Source organism: Homo sapiens, chromosome 4 (genome assembly GCF_000001405.40).
Source record: "Homo sapiens chromosome 4, GRCh38.p14 Primary Assembly".
Lineage (NCBI taxonomy): Eukaryota > Metazoa > Chordata > Mammalia > Primates > Hominidae > Homo > Homo sapiens.
This window is the reverse complement of record NC_000004.12, coordinates 186,536,495-186,561,327: the sequence shown is the minus strand read 5'-3', so window position 1 is coordinate 186,561,327 and position 24,833 is coordinate 186,536,495. Positions and strand designations below refer to the sequence as shown.

The 24,833-nt window shown below is 43.9% G+C and overlaps 1 protein-coding gene and 1 long non-coding RNA gene across 3 annotated transcripts in view, besides 2 other annotated features; one reads left to right on the top strand and one right to left on the bottom strand.

Annotated features, from left to right (window-relative positions):
- Nucleotides 1-5,760: 5,760 nt before the first annotated feature.
- The window catches only part of MTNR1A (melatonin receptor 1A), a 21,913-nt gene continuing 2,840 nt past the window's right edge, over nucleotides 5,761-24,833 (top strand). Inside the window, exon 1 of one of the 2 annotated variants that reach the window (NM_005958.4) lies at nucleotides 5,761-6,146. In NM_005958.4, the coding sequence (NP_005949.1) occupies nucleotides 5,963-6,146 (184 nt within the window). In that variant the 5' untranslated portion in view covers nucleotides 5,761-5,962. Of the gene's footprint in view, nucleotides 6,147-22,616; nucleotides 23,084-24,833 lie in introns of those variants that run through there. The other variant, XM_011532002.4, reaches the window with a different exon arrangement.
- Nucleotides 15,555-24,833, bottom strand: part of LOC105377596 (uncharacterized) — a 22,094-nt gene continuing 12,815 nt past the window's right edge. The window contains exon 3 of the long non-coding RNA XR_007058498.1: nucleotides 15,555-15,684. This is a non-coding gene — a long non-coding RNA (uncharacterized LOC105377596). The remainder of the gene's footprint in view (nucleotides 15,685-24,833) is intronic.
- Nucleotides 22,366-22,865: an enhancer, noted in NCBI's record as "H3K4me1 hESC enhancer chr4:187459617-187460116 (GRCh37/hg19 assembly coordinates)". NCBI's record gives its function as "activates a minimal SCP1, AML or CMV promoter by ChIP-STARR-seq in naive H9 embryonic stem cells {active_cell/tissue: H9 hESC(naive)}" and the evidence as "EXISTENCE:reporter gene assay evidence [ECO:0000049][PMID:30033119]".
- Nucleotides 22,866-23,367: an enhancer, noted in NCBI's record as "H3K4me1 hESC enhancer chr4:187459115-187459616 (GRCh37/hg19 assembly coordinates)". NCBI's record gives its function as "activates a minimal SCP1, AML or CMV promoter by ChIP-STARR-seq in naive H9 embryonic stem cells {active_cell/tissue: H9 hESC(naive)}" and the evidence as "EXISTENCE:reporter gene assay evidence [ECO:0000049][PMID:30033119]".

Here is a 24,833-nt window from a genome sequence, read left to right as displayed (position 1 = left end):
TCTTTTCTTTTTTCTTCAGACAGGGTCTCACTCTGTCACCCAGGCTGGAGTGCAGTGGTGCAATCCTAGCTCACACAGCCTCAACCTCCTGGGCTCAAGCAATCCTCCCTCAACCTCCTGAGTACCCAGGACTACAGGTGCAAAACACACTGCCTGGCTAATTTTTAAATTTTTTTTGTAGAGACGGGGATGGGTCTCCCTATGTTGCCCAGGCTAATCTTGAACCCCTGGGCTCAAGCAATCCTCCCACCTTGGCCTCTCAAGGTGTTGGAATTACAGATATGATCCACCGTGTCTAGCCTGATTTCTATTGAAAATTTTTTATTTTTATTTTTTGTAGAGACAGGGTCTCACTATGTCATGTTGCCCAGGCTGCTCTTAAACTCCTAGCCTCAAGCAATCCTCTAACATTGGCCTCCCAAAGTACTGGGCTTATGGGCATGAACCAACATATCTGGCCCATTTAAAAATTTTTATTGAGGCATTTTTTTTTTATAGCCCGGCATATGTTTCTTCCTGGTAAATATTCCATGTACAATTGAAAAGTCACGCTTGTTGATAGCATTGCTCAGATCTTCTATGTCTACTGACTTTTTGTCTAGTTTTCTATCATTGCTAGGGCAGGGATGTTATAATTTCCATTTATGATTGTGAAATTGTCTATTTCTACCTTATATTCTGGCCATCTTTGCTTTATGTATTTGAAAGCTATGTTGTTGAGTACATACAATTTTTAAAATTATTGTTGTTTCCTGTTGAATTGACCCTTTCATCGTTATGATGTGTCTCTCTTTATCTCTGGTAATACATTTTGATTTAAAATCTATTTTACATCAAGATCCATTTTAAATCTGATACTGATATAGCCACTCTGGCCTTTTTGTGCTTACTGTTTGCTTTATGTGTCTTTCATATGGTTGGCTTTTGTGTCGCTGCCCAAATTTCATGTCGAATTGTAATCCCCAGTGTTGGAGGTGGTCTTGGAGGGAGGTCATTGGATCATGGAGGTGGATTTCTCCCTTTGGTTTTGTTATTGTGATAGAGTTGTCACAAGATCTGGTTGTTTATAAGTGTGTAGCACCTCCCTCCTCTCTCTCTTCCTCTTGCTCTGGCCATGTAAGATATTCCTGCTTCCTTTCGCTTTCCACCCTGATTGTAAGTCTCCCAAGACTTACCTAGAAGTCGAGCAGAAGCAGCCATGCCTCCTGTACAGCCTGTGAAACCGTGAGCCAATTCAACCTCTTTTCCTTATAAATTACTCGGTCTTGGGTATTTCATCCACCATGGGATTACACAACGAGAAGGCTTTCACAAGGTGCAGCCCCTTGATCTTGGATTGCCCAGCCTCCAGAGCTGTAAGAAATACATTCCTTTTCTTTGTAAATTACCCAGTCTGTGGTCTTCTGTTATAGCAACACAATGAGGGGTAAGACCAATGGCAAAAGGGACTTTCAGATATAATTAAGGCTATGGACTTTCAGATAGAAAAATTAGCCTGGGTTGTCTAGTTGGGCCCAGTCTAAATCCACATGCCCTTAAAATAGAGAACTTTCTCCAGCTAACAGCAGAGGAGATAAAGCAGAAGATAAAGTTAGAGAAATTTGAAGTGTGAGTGGGACTCTGCCCACCATTGTTGGCTTCAAAGATGAGAGAAGGGACCATGAGTCAAGGAATGCAGCCAACCTCTAGAAGCTGAGAATGACCTCAACCTTACAACCATATGAAACTGGATTCTGCCAGCAACTTGAATGAGCTCAGAAGTGGATTTACCCTGAGAACCTCCAGAAAGAAACAGCTCTACTTCTTTGTGGTTTTATCCTCATAAGACCCTAAGCAGAGGGCTCAGCTGAGCCACTTTGTACCTGGACTTCTGGTCTGTTTAACTGTGACATAATACATGGATGTTGTTTTAAGTCTCCAAATTAATTTAATTAAGGTAATTTGTTATGACAGTAATAGAAAATTAGCACAGTTTCTGATGAGAAATCAGCTGTTAGTTGGATTAATTGCTAACCAGTACGTAATATGTAACTTGACTTTAATTGCTTTTTATCTTTGGCTTTTAGCAGTTTGACTATGCTGTGCCTTAGTATGCTTGTTTTTGTTTATTCTGCTTAGTATTCATTTTGCATGTACAAATTTACGTCTTTCCTAAAATTCAGGAAAATTTCAATCATGATGTCTTCTAATATTTTTTCTGCACCATTTTATTTCTACAGCTAGTATTCTAATTAATATAATCTATAAGAATTGTAAGCTTTGTTCATTTTAAAATATATCTTTTCTCTGTGTTGGACAATTTCTGTTGGTTTATCTTTAAGTATACTTACTCTGTCATGTCCATTTGGCTAGTAAGTCCATTGAGTAAAGAATTAATTTCAGAAATTGTATTTTTCAGTTCTAGAATTTCCCCTTCGTTCTTTTTTACTGTTTTTATTTCTTTCATGGGAGTTCCTATTTCTTTGCTGAGATTGTTAGTTACAACATTTTGCTCATTTAGGGACTGGATTTGATTGATCTTATTGTATCTTAAAGAATGTGTTTAGATAGATGATAGATAGATAGGTAGATAGATAGATAGATAGATAGATAGATAGATAGATAGATAGATAGACAGACAATGTTTTCATACGTTAAATAATTTTGAATGTACCATGGACATACGAATCTTACACTGTGGGTATTCTAGATGCTATTATTTTTCTCTGTTGAGTTTTCTTTGTCTCAGTAGGCAGTGTTCTTGGCTAGGCTGGAACTGGAACTGTTTTCTTGTGTGGCAGCTCCAGCCTCAGTTCAGGCCTTTTGCTCCAGTTGCTTCCTTTGGGTCTATTCCTCACGTGCTGGGTTCAGGGATGCTGGCAGTCAGAGTCTGGGCATTCCCTCTCTGGGTCTTTGTTTTCCAGGATTTCACCATCATTTTCAGTGCTCGTGGTTTCCCAGCTTCACCTTTCTCATTCCCCAGGGAAGAAAGATCATGAATGTTGTTATGTGCACCCCAGCATTATGTATGCCACCCCTTTTGGGGGAGAGTTAGCCATCTATGCCTTTGTATTTCATCTGTTGATTTCACAAATTTGTGTATCAAAACCCCAAGTATAGGAGTTTTACCTGTGACAAACAATGCAGGGAGAAATAACGGTGTGTCCTGACACATGTGGACACTGTTCAATTGTTTTCTATTAGTAAAACGACTAGCACCATGTATGCAGTTTGAAGACGTCCATATCTGGTGCACAGGAATGCTTTTTCTCCACGTGTTTCAAACCACACTTGGCACTACCAATATAATGTTTTCTAAAGTGATCGCTGGAATGGAAGCTTTCTCTTTTTTTTAACTTTTTTGCTAAAAGAGGTTACACATACATTTTTAGTTTTTGTCTAATTATGACCTTTAAATATATTTCTATTTTTTTTCCTTAGCTCTTTATATAATTGTCTTAGTCTGTTTTCCATCACTATTACAGAATACAGCAATACCTGGGACTGGATAATTTTTTTTTTTTTTTTCTGAAGCAGAGTCTCTCTCTGTCTCCCAGGCTGGAGTGGTAATTTTTTAAAACCCACTCTCACTGTAACTAATCCAGTCCCAGGAGAGCAAGAACTGACTCATGCCTGCAGAATTAACCCAGTCAGACAGAGTGGTATAACCCTCTTGACCTGATCGCCTCTTGAAGGCCCCGCCTTCCCCTGGGGACCAAATTTTCCACACACAAATTCTGGGGACATGCTGAAACCATAACAATAATGAAGACCATTAATGCTTCGTCTCTTAGCTATGTCACAAATCATTTCCCCAGTTTCTCTAGCTTTCACTTGTGTGTGGTATTTTTTGAATATAGGACTTTTAACTTTTCCGTAGTCAAATCTATCACGACCGAGAAACACTATCACTTAGTAATGAGGCTCCTTGCTTGGCAGTCAGAGAGACCTGAGTTCCAATCCTGCCTCTACTTGTTACCAGCTGTGTGACTTTGGTACATTGCTTAACCTCTCAGCACCAGAGGTTTCTCGTCCATAAAATGGTCGCAGCAGTGCCAGACCTTCTGGAATTGTTAACACATTGTGCAAACAATGGTTGTAAGATACCGATGCCAGAGATGGGAAGTGACACACGCTGTCCATGGCAGCTGCTACCTTTTCTATGGTTAGGATTATTTCCTGTCTGTCTTTTTTCCAGGCTTACAGAGTGCTTCTCTACCTCAAGTGATATGTATATTTACCTACATTTTCTTTAAATGCATTTTTGTTTTCGTGATCTATCCCAGCCCTACTGATTTGAACTGTTCACTTTATAAAATCTTTATTTTATATGCTTTTTCAAATTGTTTATGAGCTCAATACTGTTTTAGTTTTTTTTTTTTTTTTGAAACGGAGTCTCATTCTTTTTGGCCCAGGCTGGAGCGCAGTGGCGTGATCTCAGCTCACTACAATCTCTGCCTCCCGGGTTCAAGCGATTCTCCTGCCTCAGGCTCCTGAGATTACAGGCGCCCACCACAATACTTGGCTAATTTTTGTGTTTTTAGTAGAGACGAGGTTTCACCATGTTGGCCAGGCCAGCCTCAAACTCCTGACCTCAGGTGATCCACCTGCCTCAGCCTTCCAAAGTGCTGGGGTTACAGGTGTGAGCAGCCGTGCCTGGCATACTTATTGTAATTTTTTTTTTTTTTTTTTTGAGACAGAGTCTTGCTCTGTCTGCCAGACTGGAGTGCAGTGGCACGATCTCGGCTCACTGCAATCTCCGCCTCCCGGGCTCAAGCAATTCTCCTGCCTCAGCCTCCCGAATAGCTGGGATTATAGGCCTGTGCCACCACGCCCGGCTAATTTTTGTATTTTTAGTAGAGACGGGGTTTCACCATGTTGGCTAGGCTGGTCTTGAACTCCTGACCTCAGGTAATCCGCCCACCTCGGCCTCCCAAAGTGCTGGGATTGCAGGCGTGAGCCACCGTGCCTGTAATCCCAGGCGCCACTTAATTGTAATTTTTAATGAACATTTTGATACTGGTAGGTCATACTTCTCTCCTATTCATCTTATTCAAATCCTTTTCCTACACTTTCTTTTTACTCTTTCAAAGAAACTTTAGGTTATTTGATATTTTTCTTGGTCTGGCATAAAGTATATGAGGAAAATGAAAATTTCAGGCTTCGAAGCTAGGAACACTGTTTGTCTCTCCGTTTATTTAAATTTCCTTTCATGGTTTTCATAAAGTTTTTTCCTCACTGCACACAACTGGTTAGGCCATTTCCTAGCACTTTTACATTGCTGCCATGTATCCGATCCACCTAAGTGTGCTTTCTTTCTCATTTTTACTGGTACTTACAGAAGTACATACATTTTTATCATCTGCAAATATTGAGTTTTACTTTTTTCTTTGAAAATGTCATTTCATTATCGGAAACATCTAGCACCATCTTAAGCGGTGCAATACACAACGGAAGACAGTCCTTGGTTTTTTCACATTTTACTAATTATGAGGCTAACAGGTGAGATAGTATCTTATTCCCATTTTGCAGATAAGGAAGATAAGGGCGGTGGGGCACACAGCTGGTGAACTCGCCCCAATCCCATTTCGCATTTGATCCCAGGCAGCCTGGCCCTGCTGGGTGAAAAGTCCCATCCCAGAGAGGAAACACAATGAACGGCCTCGCCGTGCGCCCACGAGGAGAGGCCTCTGGGACACCGTCCCCAGGGCGCGGCGGCTGGGCCCGGCTTCCCGCACCGGGGCGCTGTCGGCCCGTGGTGCGGGGTTCGAGCTGCGGGCGGGGAATCCAAGCGGGCTCGCGGCGGACACCAGGTGTCACCTGGCCGTGGCGTCCGGCGCGGCGTGGGCGTCCGGGGGCGCGGCGTGGAGGAGCGCGCGGGATGGGGCGTGGGCGCGGGGAGCGCCGGGCGGAGCCTTAACAAGTGGTCGGGCGGGCGGACGAGGCGGGCGATGGCCCCGCGGCCGGGACGCGCACAGGGACCATGCAGGGCAACGGCAGCGCGCTGCCCAACGCCTCCCAGCCCGTGCTCCGCGGGGACGGCGCGCGGCCCTCGTGGCTGGCGTCCGCCCTGGCCTGCGTCCTCATCTTCACCATCGTGGTGGACATCCTGGGCAACCTCCTGGTCATCCTGTCGGTGTATCGGAACAAGAAGCTCAGGAACGCAGGTAGGGCCCGCGCCGCCTCCCCTGGGCCAGCGCTCCGGACGCAGCGCCTCTCCGCGGGCAGCCAGCCTTCCCCAAGCACTTGGTTCTTTTTCCTAAACACTGCGGACTTGGAGTTATTTTTCCTGTTAGAGAGGACTCTTCTCCAGCCTGCCCGTTGAAAGTGCCTTTTCATAAGGCGCGGAGTCACAGCCCCTAAGAGGTGGGACACTCCACCAGAGTCGGGTTCTCTTTCCTATGGGGACACCCCCGTCTGGTTGTCCTGTCTGAGGTTTATTAGATTGAGAAGCCTCAGGTCCAGGCTGCAGAAAGTTCCTCAAGCAGCCTCTGCAACGAACTGATCAATTGCTTGGTCTTAACATGTGATTTAGTTTTCCCAACATTGTTAAAATATGGAAACATAGAAGCTGGCAAAATGATGGAGCAGCCGCCGTGGTCTTGTTGTTCGGGAGTAGTCTGCAGTTACGAGCCTACAGTGGAAAGAGAGGCTCCCAAACGTGCTGTGTCCGGCAGGCGGCGGCTCCTCCAAGTAAACAAGTTGACACTTTAAAAACGGAAGTTGTTGTGTTAGAGTAGGCAGGTAGCCAGGCGTGAGCAGGAAAGAGTACACTTACGTATAATATGCAACTACAGGTAATTGTGTGCTTGAGTTAACTTGCTTTTTCCTCCGAGCAATGCATTGAACTGGTTTGTTCTGGTGGGAACCTGTGGACACTTTGTTCTTAGGATGCTGGATGTTCAGACCTCTGAGTGATGATTAGATGCTTGGTTCTCTGAAGAAACTAGTTTTTTATTTGGAGGCACTTTTGGGAGAAGGGGCGGGGAACGAAACGTGCACTTAACATGTCTGCCAAGATCAATATTTTCGTTTTAACCAGGTGGTTAAGAAAAGCTCTAATTTTGCTTAGCTCCTTTTGGGGAGGCTCACCCCTGCCCTGCCTCCCCCACCCGCCCCCAGTAGTGCTTTTACGGTTTGTAGTTTGAGAATTAGTTAGTTAAGCACTTAGTAATATGAATTGAGTTTGAGTCAGTAAATTGAATAAGCTCACTTCGTAGGTGATTGATATAAACTGGAGGAATTCTGCCTTCGAGAAGAGGCTCTTTCCTTCCTAGCAATAAAAACGACTTTCTCTGGACCAAACAGGTTGTGAGCACTGGGTTAATTGAATCCTAGTGCAGCCTTGTGCTGTGGCGCCGTGGTCAACTCGCCTTACAGAGGAGAAACTGGGGCTGCAGATTGTTCCCAGGGACTGTAGGTGTGAGCCCGGTTGAATTCCCAGAGCTGGCCTCCAGAGCTCGCCCTGCTTCCTTGCTGTCAACACCTGCAGCATTTGGGAAGTTTGAATCCTGCAGAACCTTTAAAAAGTGTTCACGGCTGGGCGCGATGGCTCAAGCCTGTAATCCCAGCACTTTGGGAGGCCGAGGTGGGTGGATCGCCTGAGGTCAGGAGTTCGAGACCAGCTGGCCAACATGGTGAAACCCCGTCTCTACTAAAAATACAAAAAATTAGCTGGATGTGGTGGCCCACAGCTGTAATCCCAACTACTTGGAAGCCTGAGGCAGGAGAATCGCTTGAACCCGGGAGGCGGAAGTTGCAGTGAACAGAGATTGTGCCATTGCACTCTAGCCTGGGCAACAAGAGTGAAACTCCATCTCAAAAAAATAAAATAAAATAAAAAGTAAAAAATGATCACGCCTGAACAATTTTACTTCTTGTGTTTTCTGAAGAAGAACTTAAGAACTCCTTACACTCACTTTGTATTTTATTTGCTAAGACGTGCTCTTAAGAGGATATTCCTGTAGCTGCATGGGAGACCCTTAGTGACCTTTAATCCGCACAGCTTTAGAAGTTCCATATTTTTCTAATAGGGATTTTTTGTTTATATGTGCGGTTCAAGCCATTTGAGGATTTCTGGAATGGATGGTAATTTGAAACAGTGATAAGGATAGCTGATTCAAATATAAGTTTTGGTATGCTTATTAAAAGTTTTGATGATCTTCAGACCTCTCATTTCAGCTAAATTAATTTTGTTGGCTTTAAGGATGAAATGTTGGGAAGAAGAGAATGGAAGAAATGACAATGTGAAGGCATCTAGGCTTTGAACCATCACTTTCCTTTGGAAAGCTTGGTATAATTGTGGTGATTTATGCCACCTTCCTCTCCTCAAGGGACTGTGTTGACATTTGACTTCCCAGGGAATAAATTAAAAATGGCTAACAATCTGCATGGCGGGGACAGTGGACAGCCACAGCCGACGCAGGCTGCAGACAACCACTGGTATCTGTGGTGCCAACAGAATATTCGCTCTACTCTTGTCCACAATTTGATAATAGAAGTGAAGCTACCATATCATATCTTCTGAGTAAATTTGATAGCATAAGGGACGATTCCCGCAATGGAACGCTAGGATTAGATCCTTGCTGTGCTCCTTCTGATTTCAGAAATCAGTGAAGCTAAATACCAAACTTCATTTTCCACATTTGTTGAATTGCAGGTAATACCCAACCGCTTAGCCTCATAAGAGTGTTGCAATGACTGTAGTGAAGTGGCGCATATGAGAATACTTTGAAAAGGATAAAACACGTAATACTGTGTTGGCTTGTTTGTTTTCTGGGTACACCTAACAAGGGCGTGCTCTGTTTGCTGGAAATCATTGCACTATAGACCTATGATTCGTGCATTTTTCTATATGTACATTATACTTAAATAAAACTTATTTTACAAAATATCAGGCAAGAATACAATACTATCTTGCCTATTCAAAATTCAATTATCTGGCAATCTAACTGAGGTAGAGTACAGCCAATAAATGGAAATTAGCAAAAATGACAGGCTCTCACCTACAGCGGATTTGTTCTAACTTAGAGTGCCACAAAACTGTGATACTGGTGTCTAGGTCCCTGTAGATTATGAGCAGGAAATTAGGAGGAAGATTGACACATTTAAAGAAATAGCACATAATAGCAAGCAGTATGGGTTGAAATAGACTCATTAAATGCAGATCTGAGAAACAGAACAAGCACAACCTTTTGTGCTTACATTGTGAAGATGTGAACAGCCCTGCTCACCATTCACGGCTCCTGAAAGCAGCACAGTGCAGCAACATATGTATTATCATCACCTGATTCATCAGCGAGAGATGTCATCATGAGTGGTGTGTTCTACTTAAGAAGACAGGGATATGATACATTTTAGAAAGATACCTGTCAAAAGCAGTTTATTATTATTATTATTTAATCTGTGTGCACAGTAGGGTAAACTTGTCAGTATATGTTTTTAAAAATGGTTTCCCAGAATGGCTCTATGGCTGGATGGCTGACTCTGTGTGAAGCCTCTCTTGCACTTGTTGCTTTCAGGTCTCTATAGAATGTTATATTTATTCATTCTGCATTACCACTCAGAGAGGATGCATAGAGTACGGAGTGAATGTGGACTTTGGGCCTCAGAGATCTGGTTCAAGTCTCGGATGTACCACGGCTGTTTAAGATGCCACTTTTCTTACAGGGATACTAGAAGGATAAACTTAGATTCTGCCTATCAGTCCACTTACCTACCCATCCACCCACCTATACGTCCAACCACCCATTCATCCATCCAGCCACCCATCGTCCGTCCATCCATCCATCTATCCATCCATCCACCTACCTACCCACCTATCTATCATTATGAGGTACAAATAATAGTATTATGATGTTAATGCTAGTACGCATCTGGTGATTAGTTCTTTTTAGATTGTTTTTATTTTTTAAGTGTATGTTTAAAAAAAAAAACAAGTAGACAATATGAACTGGAAAACAGTGAAATCAACCAGAAATGGAAGGTTTAGAATCTAATTCCCATTTGTGACATTATGCAAAATACACAAAATCTCCATTGTCTGAGTTTTCCCTTTTGTAACAACCATTATCTCTCTGCAGCAAGAAGGCCTGAGATTTAAAGACTGATTATTTCGATATTCAGCTGTTCTCTAATTTTAAGTGAATCAGCTCTAGAAGCTACAGTAGCTTCCTTGGGCAAGCAGGCTACCATTCAAAAACCTACGACGTAACTTGTACTGTACAGACTTGGAAAATGATTTCAAGCTAACCCCACTTCATGCGATCTCCAAGCCGAGAGGTTTCTTGTTGGCGCTGCTGTAGTTTCCCTCCTGTTGCTTTCCACAATATTTGAAATTACTGATTCAAGGCAATTTTTTACTTTAGAGACATTTTATTGATTTTTCCCCCTTGTATTCTTAGCTGTTGTTCAGTTTTCTATGACTTTCTATCTTGGTTTGTATAGTACATTGTTATGAACCCTAAGTTTTTACAAATATGTCAAAGTAATTCCCAGAATCCCCTGTAAATCTTATGACAGTAGTTTCAGACTCTCAAATACATGATTGAATTTGTCTGATCTTTCGTTCCTCCAGCTATTCATTTCGTAAGAAAGTATTTCTGGCAGGAATTTTCAGTGTTAAATTAATCACAGATAAGATAGAGCTTACTTTTGCTTGCCTTCAGCATCATTTTTCTCTTGGCAATTTTGGGAGTTAACCTAGGATAAAATAGTCCTAGATTAGACCTCCTTCTATTAATATTTACTGCCATTTGATGGTTCTGTTTTAAAAAGCATCTACACTGAAAACTATCATGCCTTGGAAGTCACTTTAAATCTCCACAGAGTCTTTGGAGCTCATTCTGCCCATTCTTCCTTAGCACCTTTTAAAAATAATCAACAGAATAACTGAAATGAATGGTAAGATCTTTACAAGGTGCCTTAAGCTTTCCCTTTTTTCTACATATTTGTAAGTTGCCTCGCTGACAGAAATACCCTTTCTTCTAAAAAGGAAACTCACATACTCCTTTAGAGTTTTCTAGTACCAAAAAGGCAATTAGTGGATTGTTGTTAAAGAAGCGTTTTTATGAATGCACAGAACTCTGCACGGTATCATTGGTGCCATCTCTGCCTCTTCATGAAGATGATCAGCAGCCTCACTTCTGCCCCTCTCAAATAATCAAGGTGACCAGGAACCTGAGCGCTGTATGTGATATCTCTGTGATTTTTAGTGCAGTTAAATAATGCTGCAGATAAGAAATAAACTGCTGGATTCTCTGGATGAAGTACTCAAACACTTGTCTTTCTACAGAGCTGTATACACTTTCGGCAATGCCATTGAAGGAATCAGTCTCAGAAGAAGAGACGGGAGAGAAAATGCATTTGCACGGTGCTGAATATTATTTAAGTTAATGGAGGTGAATTTGAGTTGTTAGGGTGCACGGTTTAAAAGCGTGCTCACTTGCTTTGATACTGAGTAGTTTTGGTGCTTATTGAGCTGAACATTTACCTGGATAAATACTTACTGCATTCCTAGAGTATAAGGCAGAATGTAAATGGTTGGTAAATTTTTGCAGGTTTGTCAAAATTCAAGGTCCTGTTCTAAGCGTGGGTCAAACGCGGCTCCGACTTTCAAAGAGATTACTTTCTATCGAGGCACTTTAGAAATGTGTGTTCTTCTTATTTTCAAACAAAGAGAAGACTTGGGGTACAAAAGTATGAAAATAGGAGCATATTTATACAGCAGAAAACTTTTTCAAGAGAAATGCGAAAGTTGGCTGGTAGATGGTAGCTGGAGCTTAAAGCAATCATGAGAATTTTTTAAAGTTGTTATCTTACGAGGAGAGAACAATGTAATAACTGGGAGATGTGAAAACTAGTTCACATGTGAAATAGCAGCAGATTGAGACGGAATTAGTGAGAGAATTTCAAAGAAACTGATCAGTGGTAGAGACACGGCATAACTATTAGTGAAGAACACACTGGCTTCAGGTCTTTCGAAGAAACGCCTGCTGGAGAACTAGCCTGCTAACTTACATTTATACTTGTTTTCTCAAATAGTTATTAAGTGGTGGATTATAAAAATGTGTAATCAGTAATTAGTATTTCCTCTTTGATGATTTTCTGAACATATTTAGGAATATGTTCTTGGAAGGGATATTGTGCTTTCATCCTTCCTGCATTCATTCCCTCCTCCTTTATTTAAATGCTTGCTGGATGCCTCCTATATCCATCTATAGGAGCTTAGGACACGATTTTGTTTCAAGAGAAAATTCTGGTTCACTCATTTTTATTTTAAGATGTGGTTTAAATTGCAATTTTTACTTTTAAGATTTTTTGCCAGTTAGTTTTCATTCCATTTTTTCCTTTTATTATTTACTTATCTTTTTTAGCTCCTTTCGTTGTTCCCTCTGAATTTGGAATACTTCCAACTGTTCTCATTTGTGTATATGTCTGTGTAGGTATCATATAGTCTTTTACCATGTACTTTTTTTAAAAGATTGTTTTACATATATAGTGTATATATATATATATATATATATATATATATATATATCTTTATAGATTAAGCATTCCTTATCTATGGAAGATTAGTGCTATTATAGGTCATTTTTTTTGGGATGTGTCCCTCTGAAACACATGGCCTCTGGAACCAGATGCCTGGAGTAAAACCCGGGCTTTGCCATCTCATGCGTGTGACATAGGGCAAGTGACCTAATTTGCTCAGTTTCCTCACTTGTTAATTTGGGACAATACTAATATTGTAAGGACTAAATGGCTTGCTGTATACTTAAAGTGCATTATGAATTAAATATAACATTCCCAGCAGCAGAATAAATTCCTTTTGTTAGTTAGTATTCTTGGTGTAGAGTTCTGATGTGTAAACATATTTTTATTTTTAAGGCAGAATGCAATATTTCACACTTACAGGTCTTTAAATACTCTGTAAGTACATAAAAATAGAGTCAAAGTTTTAACTTTTAAAAAGTTACTTTTATGAGAATATTATTTTATACTTTTGTAGTGTTAACATATTTTCCTGTCATTGATTTAACTTTCATATATAAATAGGGTTCTATTATGATTATACCATTTTTAATAAAACTCTCTTTTGGATTTAGCAATTTAGAGTTATTATTTAGTGCAGTTAATCTGTTTATTTAAGATGGGGTTTTCACTGAGTCCTTCAAGGTTCGGAAAAGTGCCTAAGGGAAAAAAGACTCCTACCCTAAAGAGAGTTCATATAGTTTTTTTTTGATTGCCTGTTAATGTCGCTGAAGGATTATGATTTTGTTTTTGTTAAAGTTTCATCCTAAATTCTCTAAGACGAATAAAGGTACAGTATCAGTAATTCGTCTTCCATTTAAGGGTGAAAGGCTGAACCAGTCAGGCTGTACTGTGGATGTTTTACAAGTTACAAATGCCTCACTAAACCACCCTTCTCAGAAGACAGTCACTGGGCATAGAAAATGAGCAGGATTATTTGCAGGATGTTACACCTTTAACACTGACTGAAATCCAGATGGGAACAAGCAGGAATGTGTATGATTTCTTAAAGACACCTCAGGTGCCTTTGGTCTCTCGTATTGTATATACAGTGTATATGCAATACAGTGTACAATGTAAAGTGTACAGTGTACAATACCGTGTATAATAGAAAGCAGTGCCAAGGTCTACTAGTTTTCTCTACAGCAGCAGTCAACAGTCAAGTTAGAGAACAGGTGGGGAACTAGAGACAGAGTGGGATAGAGAGAGAGAGGAATGAGCCAGGAGGACACGTGGAATCCAGGAGGCAACGGAGCCCTGAGGTGCTCAGATGGAACAGGGTGTTCAGACAACCGCGAGTACCATGAACCAGGTGTGGGACGACGGTGTGTCCCAGGAACAGGGTGTGATGGGTACAGCATGTCCCAGGAACAGGGTGTGAGGAGGACAGTGTGTCCCATGAACAGGGTGTGAGGACAGTGTGTCCCACGAACAGGGTGTGGTGTGGACAGTGTGTCCCACGAACAGGGTGTGAGGAGGACGGTGTGTCCCACGAACAGGGTGTGGTGTGGACGGTGTGTCCCATGAACAGGGTGTGGCGTGGACGGTGTGTCCCATGAACAGGGTGTGGTGTGGACGGTGTGTCCCATGAACAGGGTGTGGTGTGGACGGTGTGTCCCATGAACAGGGTGTGGTGTGGATGGTGTGTCCCAGGAACAGGGTGTGAGGAGGACGGTGTGTCCCAGGAACAGGGTGTGAGGACGGTGTGTCCCAGGAACAGGGTGTGAGGACGGTGTGTCCCACGAACAGGGTGTGGTGTGGACGGTGTGTCCCACGAACAGGGTGTGGTGTGGACGGTGTGTCCCAGGAACAGGGTGTGGTGTGGACGGTGTGTCCCAGGAACAGGGTGTGGTGTGGACGGTGTGTCCCAGGAACAGGGTGTGGTGTGGACGGTGTGTCCCAGGAACAGGGTGTGGTGTGGACGGTGTGTCCCACGAACAGGGTGTGGTGTGGACGGTGTGTCCCACGAACAGGGTGTGGTGTGGACGGTGTGTCCCACGAACAGGGTGTGGTGTGGACGGTGTGTCCCATGAACAGGGTGTGGTGTGGATGGCATGAACAGGGAGCGAGGCGGATGGTGTGTTGTATGAACAGGGTGTGGTGTGGATGGTGTGTTGTATGAACAGGTGTGGTGTGGGTGGCATGAACAGGGTGTGATGTGGGTGGCATGAACAGGGAGCGAGGCGGATGGTGTGTTGTTGTATGAACAGGGTGCAAGGTGAGCAGCGTGTCTCATGAACAGGGTGTGGTGTGGACAGCATATCCCGTTAATGGGGTGTGATGTGGATGGCGTGTCACATGAAGAGGGTATTATAGTTTGGGGAGTTTAAGGAGTTAAAGGCTGGGAGAAGGAGTCACCAAGTATGTCACTGAATACTGCAGGGCTATTGAAGCCTGGGCATTGCGGGGTGATGCACTGTCATGTGTGCTGTGGAGAGCCGTGTGTGGAAGGGGGAGGGGAGCAGTGAGGCCGACGGCAGGAGGGGTGGGGGATGAGAGGAGGCTCATCGGCTATGGAGAGACCCCTGTTCCATTGCAGGGATCAGGGAGGATCCTCCCTAGCCAGGACTGTGTGCCAGGGAGGAACCTTCCGTGAAGCAAGACGTGTGGTTTCCATCACAGGGGAACAGAAATAAGACATGAGTGAATAATCCTGCAAAGGAAGATGGGCCACACGCCCTCAAATCCTCACCACGGCCCTAAGCAGCTTGATTTATTGCATATTAAGAGACTGAGGCTGTGGGAAGCTGTGACTTACCTGAGGTCACGTTAGCAAGTGGCGTGGCTGGGATCTGAATCCGGCTTTTGTTTCCACACTCATGGTGCACACTGCCTCTAGTAATCTGAAAAGACACTTTTCTAAGGTATAGTCTCTTTACATTTAAGAATCTAAAACATGGACTGTGTGCTTTGATGCCTCGAAGTAAAGCCCTTCCCTTTCCCTTGTACTGCCAGAGAATATTCCCTACACACCTGCGGTAGCTCAGCTTTCTCTTATCATACAGGTAACATGTATGCACGTGCAATTTTAAAAAATACAAACCAAGTTTGTAAATAGTTCTTTATTACTGGTCTTCGTGATGCTTAAGCTCAGGCACACTCAGTTCCTTTTAGTCTTCGTGAACAGTACTATTCAGGGGGCCTCTAATCTTGCTTTCCACGTGGTTAAAGTCCAGGCTGAAATGAAAGAAGGAGTGAATATTGACCTGCTGGGAAAAACCAACATCTTAGTGGATATGAGCAGGAAGAGCAAGTAATTTCTGCTTTTCTGAGGGAGTAGTTCAGAGGCCAAAGGGTGCGTTAATTCAATCAGCAAATTATTTCCGAGCACCTAATATGGGCCAGGCTCTGTGCTCACCGTGAGAATGTGAAGGTTCATGTCCACAGTGAGGACCTGAGTCTCAGAGGGAGACAGACGGCTGTGCGAATGTGTGTGTTTTCATGTTGCCTCAATATTGGAAGCAGATGCACACGTAGTGAGGTTGGAAGCATGGAAGAGCAGTGCCGGTGGGCAGCTACAGCCTGTAACTCCTACCCGGTATGGTTGGCTCGTGTCTGTAAGACACCATAGTAAGTAGCTCTTTTTTTCTATCTAGAAGCCAGTGACCTCTTTAGGAAACCACCCAACCTCATCATAGAGCTGAAGGTCTATTTCAGGTTTGCTAGAAACAGAACCTGAGACAGAGGCTTGGTACTCGTGCTTTGCTGAGGGAGCACTCTCAGGGGGAGCTTGTAAGAAAGAGAGGAGAGCAGATCAGGGCAGGGGAAAGGGTCAGGGAGGGATGGGGTCTCAGGGAAAGCTGAGACTTGGCCTCATCCATAAGTTGGGGCCTCTGGGCGTAAATCCAGTGGAGTTGCCATTACTTGAGGCAAAGGGACTGGTCGTTTGTACCCCATTCAGTGGCTCTGTGATCAGTGAAGGCAGTCTCTGGGGAAGGATCCAGTCCTTGCCAAATGAAGGCTCCCAGAACTCACAGACACTTTGGGGAGAAATGCGCCAGCAGCGTCTACGACAACACCTCTGAAAGACAGAGGATGAGCAGAAGCCGCCTGGAGCCCAGGCTTGCTGTGGTAATGGGCCCTGCTAACCCACACGCAGAAGGAAAGAAAGTGTCCGCAGGGTTAATCATTGCACAGATTTGGAGATTATCAAATGAGGAAAAAGATGGCTAGAGCTGTAGAAACAGACGTTTTTCAGAAATACACATTTTCATTGTTCATGAAAACTTCAGACACAGGGTCCACACTTTGCACAGTGTCAGATAGGTTGATAGATTTCTGTGTAATTCACAAAAAAGCAAAGTGATGCAGAAGTATTCATTCAAATGCAAATCAGCCTGAGGATTGCAGTGTGGGATTTCTAAAAAAGAGCAGAAATGACTGATAAAAGGTAAGAGTCTGGCCCAGGATAGGAAGATCCTGTAGATTTACTTAGTTAAGGCTTTTACTAGTTAATAACGGCATATCTAGCATAAAAAAGCATTACACAAATGGCTGCTGCAGGCCGGGCATGGTGGCTCACGCCTGTAATCCCAGTACTTTGGGAGGCCGAGGTGGGTGGATCATGAGGTCAAGAGATCGAGACTATCCTGGCCAATATGGTGAAATCCCATCTCAACTAAAAATACAAAAATTAGCTGGGCATGGTGGCGTGCACCTGTAGTCCCAGCTACTCAGGAGGCTGAGCCAGGAGAATTGCTTGAACCCAGTGGGGGTGGGGGACGGCAGAGGTTGCAGGGAGCCAAGATAACACCACTGCATTCCAGCCTGGTGACAGAGCCAGACTCCATCTCAAGAAGAAAAAATGAAAAAAATAGCTGCTGCTTCATTTCCACCTTCCAAATCTTATACAAAATTCTTTTGTGGGTGAGGCTATCCTATAATTATGCAGAAAACAGAATTCTAGGGAGCATAGTTCCAATTTAGCTAAGTTGACACAATACTAATTCAACACAGTCCACCCCTTGACAACTTGGGTTCTAGCTATATCTTTTAACCATATTTAACTTCGAAATAAAGGAAACATCAAAATTATGCTTCCATCTAACAAAGCAACTATCCCGTGTAAAATTGAAAATACATTAACCCTCTTTGTAAAAGAAAATACAGTCTCTTTATGCAACTTTACATCATTTTTATTATTCTAGTTGAGTCACATTCCCCATTTGATATCCTATAACTTACATTCTGAGATACAAGGTTCACTATTAACACATCTTATATGAGATGGTAGGGGAATAGCAGAGGGAAAGAGACACAAAGTTATTACTATATTCACAAATTGTTCATGCTAAAGCAAGCAGGAAATACTCATAATTATTTTAGCCCTCACTTCTGCAGTTGGCCAGGTGGCCACAGTGGGTATTTGGAACTACCATTCCCTCCTCATTTCCTCTGCCCTCTGGCTCTTTGCATGTTCTGGTGGCTGAAGCCTTCATTCCTAACACTCTGGGACACTGGCATTCCTGCCTGTATTGGGTTATTTTGGTTTCCCATTGGCTTCAATCCCAGGGCATGGGAGTACTGAGACACGCGAGGGATTTCTGGCATGCCAGATCTATACTTCCTTGCTCTTACTGTGCAATCATAACCCAGTTTCCCCTTGATGATCAGGACTAAACACGGTAAGCACAGTAACCCCCCTCCTTGTCTATGGATTCACTAGAATGAGGAGCCCCAAATAGCAGGTGGCACTCTCAACCTCCAGTTTTCTGGTTTTCTTTTCTTTGAGACAGGATCTTGCTCTGTCGCCTGAGCTGGAGTTCAGTGGTGCCATCATGGCTCCCTGCAGCCTTGAACTCTTGGGCTCAAGTGATTCTCCCACCTTAGCCTCCCGAGTAACTGGGAATACAGACATGCACCTGCACGCCTGGCTAATTTATTTTTTGTAGAGATGGAGTTTCACCATGTTGCTCAGGCAGGTCTTGAACCCCTGGGCTCAAGTGATCCACTCACTCCAGCCTCCCAAAGTGCCAGGATCTGTGCCTAGCCTCAATTTCCAGTTTAATGAAACCAAAGGGGTATCTCCTGGTGGAAGCATTGCTCCCTTGGGAACTAAGACTTTAGACCAACAGAACCTAAAGTTTCACAGAAAGGAAGCAAACATTTTGCTAGGGTATCACCAGGGTAATATGAGAGGATGAGCTGCCATTTTCACCCTTGATTTTCTGATCCATGAATCCTGGCCATGGGATGAACAACATTCTATGTTAATCACTGATTTAGAGCAGGTGCCACATGATAGGGATCTGTACCCTAGGCTCACCCGCCTGGTGCTGAAACTGAACCTTCAAAAGCCATTCCACCAACATATCAGGTCAGCTGTTTTGAGATGGGAAACCTGGTAAGGGCAGTGAATTCCCAGGACATGGCCCCATTGCTATACTTCATTTGCTGTCAGAGGAATTCCTTAGTCAAAAGCAACGCCATGAGGAATACCATCACGGTGGAGAAGGCGTCCTGTACGTCCGTGGGTGTTAGGTTGCTGGAAGATTTAAGGGCCTGAAAAGGTAGGAAAGGCACATCCATATTCAGAGTATGCCTCTGTTCCAGCCAGAACAAACCACTGCTCCCTTTGATGATGGAAGTGGTATGTAATCCACCTACCAGCAGCGTCTGGCTGATTTTCCCAGGGAATGGTGCTCCGCTGGTGTTATCTCCACTCTTGGCAGGCTGGACATTCAGCAGTGCAGCAGTGGCTGCATCCAGATCAGTTTTCATGAGGAGTAATCTGATGCTGAGCTCATGAATAACTTCTATCCTTGCTGCCATGACAACTTTGTGAGCCCATTGGTCAAGGACTGGTGGCCAAAGACAGATTAACTGATATACACAGGTTGCATCATCAAGACACAAATATCTTCACACCAAGTGTCCATTCTGAGAGGTCTGTGTGCTACGTCTTCCCCAGAGCCCCATAACCGGTTTTCTAATTATGTTTCTTCCAAATCGTTGCCCATCTAGCTCAGTGGTCCCTAACCTTTTTGGCACCAGGGACTGGTTTCATGGAAGACAATTTTTCCACAGGACAGGGTGGGGGAATGGTTTCGGGATGAAACTGTCCCACCTCAAATCATCAGGCATTAGTTAGATTCTCATAAGGAGGGTGTAGCCTAGATCCCTCACATGGAGTTCACGATAGGGTTTGCACTCCTATGAGAATGTGATACCACAGCTGAGCTGACAGGAGGGGGAGCTTAGGCGGTAATGCTTGCTCATATGCTGCTCACCTCCTGCTGTGCAGCCTGGTTCCTAACAGGTCACGGACCCAGTCTGTGGCTAATGGTCAGCTAGAGCAGTGGCTAATGGTCAGCTAGATCAGTGGCTAATGGTCAGCTAGATCAGCCGTCTCCAACCTGATCGAGCTGACCATTAGCCACTGCCCATGAATCTAGCTGACCATTAGCTACTGTCCCCATCAGGTTGGGGACCCCTGGTCTAGCTGACCATTAGCCACTGCCCATTAATCAGTGCAGATCTAAACCTGTGGCCCTCTCTCCTTCCAGGAAAAATGAACAACCAGTTTGAAGCATTGCTCAAAGTTCTGTTTCCTGGGAGGGTCTTCCTCCATCCTTGTTTTTCAGGGCTGTACTGAATTGGGTCTGTAGTGCTGCAACCATCCAATTTCAGGTAGTGTCAGTAGGTCATGAAAAGCCATGTGGAAACCAGGCAAGAAGGTTTTTTTCTTTCTTATTCAGCTGGTCAGGGGCACGTCCTCATGAGGCCATAGGAGCATGCTGAGGGAATGGAGGCAGGGTGGTGGGAACGCAGGCTGTGGCCTCTGAGCCACTTGCTCTTGCATCTTCCCTGTGCCTTCAGGAGCTGCCGGAGCCAGATCTTGGATGTGCGGCTTCTGTTTGATGCTGTGATGGGCAACTTTGTGATTTGGTGATTTGGTGGGTCAGACAGCACCTGGTCCTTCAGACAGACAGCACCTGGTCCTTCAGTCAGACAGCACCTGGTCCTTCAGTCAGACAGCACCTGGTCCTTCAGTCAGACAGCACCTGGTCCTTCAGTCAGACAGCACCTGGTCCTTCCTTCAGTCAGACAGCACCTGGTCCTTCAGACAGACAGCACCTGGTCCTTCAGTCAGTCAGACAGCACCTGGTCCTTCAGACAGACAGCACCTGGTCCTTCAGTCAGTCAGACAGCACCTGGTCCTTCAGACAGACAGCACCTGGTCCTTCAGATAGACAGCACCTGGTCCTTCAGACAGCTTTCAGATCACATGGTCACTTGGGGGTCCATGTTCGAGCATTCAGACTCTACCAAGGCCAAGTAGGAAGTAAAAAACGGTATCTGCAAAGGAGAGCACAGATTTGCTGCAAAGTACTAAGGGTCTGTGTTATGAGTCATCTGAATGTGCCTGCTAAGGCCTCCTTACAGCCTTCCTATTAACATGCAGTGGTCCCTCCATATCCATGGGTTCCACATCCAGGGATTCAACCAATCATGGATTGAAAATACAATATTTGAGGGATGTGGAACTCAAAGACATAGAGGGCCAACTTCACATATTCACAGGGTCTGCAGGGCCAACTGTGGGACTTGAGCATTGATGCGGTTTGGCTGTGTCCCTACTCAAATCTCATTTTGAATTACCATGGGTTGTCAGGGACCTGGTGGGAGGTAATTGAATCACAGGGGCAGGTCTTTCCCATGCTGTTCTCGAGATAGTGAATAAGCCTCACAAGATCTGATGGTTCTATAAGGGGGAGTTTCCCTGCACAAGCTCTCTCTTTGCCTGCTGCCATCCACGTAAGATGTGACTTGCTCTTCTTTGCCTTCCACCATGATTGTGAGGCTTCCCCAGCCACGTGGAACTGTAAGTCCATTAAGCCTCTTTCTTTTGTAATTGCCCAGTCTCGAGTATGTCTTTATCAGCAGCATGAGAATGGACTAATACAAGCATCCATGAATTTGGGTGTCTATGGAGATCCTGGAGTCAGTCCCTGCTGATACCAAGGGACAACCCTATAAACAATTCAAGCCCCATTGGTGTCTTAATCTGTTCCTGCTGTTATAACAATGTAGACTGGGAAGTTGTAAATAACTGAAATGTGTTTCTCACAGTTCTGGAGGCTGGGAAGCCCAAAATCTAGGCACTGGCAGATTTGGAGTCTGGTGAGGGCTGCTGTCTGCTTCCAGGATGGTGCCTTCTTGCTGTGTCTTCTGGAGCAGATGAATGCTGAGTCCTCACATGGTGGAGAGATGAACAACTCCCTGGCACCTCTTTTATAAAGGCACTAATCTTATCTGTAAGGGCTCCACCCTCATGATTTAATGGCTTCCTAAAGGCCCCACCTCTCAATACTATCACATTGGCGATTAAGTGTCAACACATAAATTTTGGGGGAGACACATTTAGACCATAGCCATTGGATCAGATGGATCAGGTGGCTGAGCAGCCTTCAGGGCCTTGTTCTGGGCTCCAGTCAACACTGACAGCTTTTTGAGTCACTCAGGAAATGGGTTGGTTTAATACGTCCAACCCTTTGTATGGTTGGTATATTTTGTTTTTCATCTTAGTGGTTGGAGGGTGATGCAATGACATTGTTTTCACCTTGGAAGGTGAATACAGGTGGCCTTTTTTTTTTTTTTTTTTTTTAATGGAGTCTTGCTCTGTTGCCAGGCTGGAGTGCAGTGGCACGATCTCAGCTCACTGCAACCTTCGCCTTCTGGGTTCAAGCGATTCTCCTGCCTCAGCCTCCCTAGTAGCTGGGACTACAGGTGCGCACCACCACGCCCAGCTAATTTTTGTATTTTTAGTAGAGATGGGGTTTCACCATGTTGGCCAGGATGGTCTTGATCTCGTGACCTCGTGATCCCCCGCCTCGGCCTCCCAAAGTGCTGGGATTACAGGCGTGAGCTGCCACACCCAGCCCAGGTGGTCTTTTAAGGAATTCTTTTGCCCCTGCAGGCCGTGACTACCAGTGTCCCTTAACTACTGGAAATAGGATTTCTAATACTTTAAAGCTAGTCCTATTACAGAATCGACTGCAGGTAACCCAAAACCAATACAGAGAAACCATCCTGAAGGTTCTCCTTGGTCCACTTCCAGAACCAAATTCTGTATCAGTCTGGGTTCAATCAATCCAAGAAGTAAAATTGCTAGAGCAGTTGTGTGAGCTGATTAAATAGCGTATTTGAGGTTTTCGCTTCTGTGTCTGGTGCTGCTGTCTAAAGTCCACGGATTTAAGAAGGAAAGCTGGATGTTAGGAGGGGACGCAGGGGAAGCTAGAACCTGGGAGGAGGGACTGGAGCTCTGGAGGATGGTCGAATCTCAAGCCAGGAGGAGGTGAGCAGGAGCTGGAGAAGCTGTGAGCACACTGCCGTCACCCACCCCCTGCAGGGCAGCAGATGAGACTCGGAGTGCCGAGCTTGTGGTGGCGTCTGGCACTTGACACAGACATACTGAGGGCAGAGAGCAAGCTACTGCTGCACTTCCGCCTTCAAAATCTCACGCAATTGCCTCTTGTGGGGAACACTAACCCGGAGCGGTGCAAGGAAAAGTCTTTTCAGCTTCGCGAAGTTGACACAATATAAACCCACTGTGCATCGATTAACCCTCGGCCAGGTACTGTTCAAGGTGGAGGGAGAAGATATCTAAGACAGGCAGTGTCCTCACCGAGGTGATAGCTGGGGCTGTGGGAGATGGGGAGAAGTAGAGACATAATCGCGATAAACAGAAAAGCAACGTCGTGCTGCTGTGTCATTCCCAGAAGGGACTCACAGGACTAGTTCTGAGGAAGGTACTCCCAGCAAGCTGACATTTTAGTTGTCTGTTACCTTATTTTATTCATATCTGTGCCATATTTCACTTCCACTTTAAGGTTTTATTCCTGGGAACAAATATTGACTGTGCATTTTATAGTTGGTGCCTTTAATCACCACAAGGCTGATCGCTGTTCGTCTTGTTGCCAGCATACTGACTTAGGTGTTTTCCTCCCCCATCTTCTCTTTAGAATGTTCTAGTTCAAATACGCTTCTTCAGAATTGTGCCTGGAGAGGCTGTAAGCCAGGACGTAGCCACAGGGCCCAGTTTCTGAGTCTCGTATCTGTAGGAGCACAGGAGCTTTCTCAGGGAAATAACATTGAACAACACTCACCAGTTCATAGCATTGGTATAATCCTGACTCTTTCACTAAGTAGTCGTACGACTTCATCCAATTTAACTCTATATTTTTGTTTTCTCATCTTTAAAAAGTAGGAATTATCCAGGGAGATCATTAACCCATCTCTCAATTTTAACATCCTATGATTCTATGATTCTGCCACAGTAAGGATTGGAACTATATTCAACAGAGAAGAAATTCTTACCCATGAACAGACATTATTTTACATTTCAGAATGCATTATTAAGCTTGTTGCATACAGTCCTGGATATCTGTAAAAATGGGTAGATTGTCCATATGTCTGGAGTTACATAGATTTGAGAATGGAATAGATGAACTTATAATGTGTATAATTATAATTAGATGATTTAATGACTCTTATCTGGTGAAGTTCATAAAAGAAAAAAGGAAATTCCCTTTTTCCTTCTCCGCCCAGACACCACACACCCCCCAGGCACACATGAACACTGGTGCTAAAGCTTTATGTGAGCTACCTGACAGCCGCACCTGTGGGGAGTCTGTGGCTTAATTAATTTTCACCAAGATTTGTAAAATGGGATTAATTCAAAGAATCAATGATCTAATTAATGTAATTGCTTGAATTGTAATGCAACATAATTACTATAAAATAAATGAAGCAGGGTATTCGAGCCATGAAAGAAATTTATGACATCATTTGTGATTTCATTTTTAAGCTCTTTTAAAAATAAATCCATATTAGGCCAGTTTGTCATCATGACACTCTGGGAACAAATGTGCTGTTACAATGACAGTTTGATTTGGAACAGAATTTCACATATTATAGATGCTTTTAAAGCATTAAACATTTTGAGCTAAATAATTTATTAAAATACACCTCTTAGGAATTTAAATGTTTCAACGCTAATTGAAAGTGATCTGTGGGAAAATAAATTTGCCTTTGTAACTTTAATTTGGATGAATACAACCAATTTTTAAAGTATTTGCTTTTATGACAATTTATCTGAAATTCCTAAATAAATGGCACAAATTTTGCCTTTCTCTCATCTTGACTGCTATGGGCTGTCTCATTTCAAATATTGGGAAGTGACAGTTTAATGAACTCATTGAGTGTATGAGCAAAAGTCACTGTATTTATTGGGTGTGGTCTAGGACGCAAATATGAGGAAATGTACTCACGAGGGCCACCATCTGGAGACGCAGGGAAGCCTGGCCTACAGGTCAATAGAATAG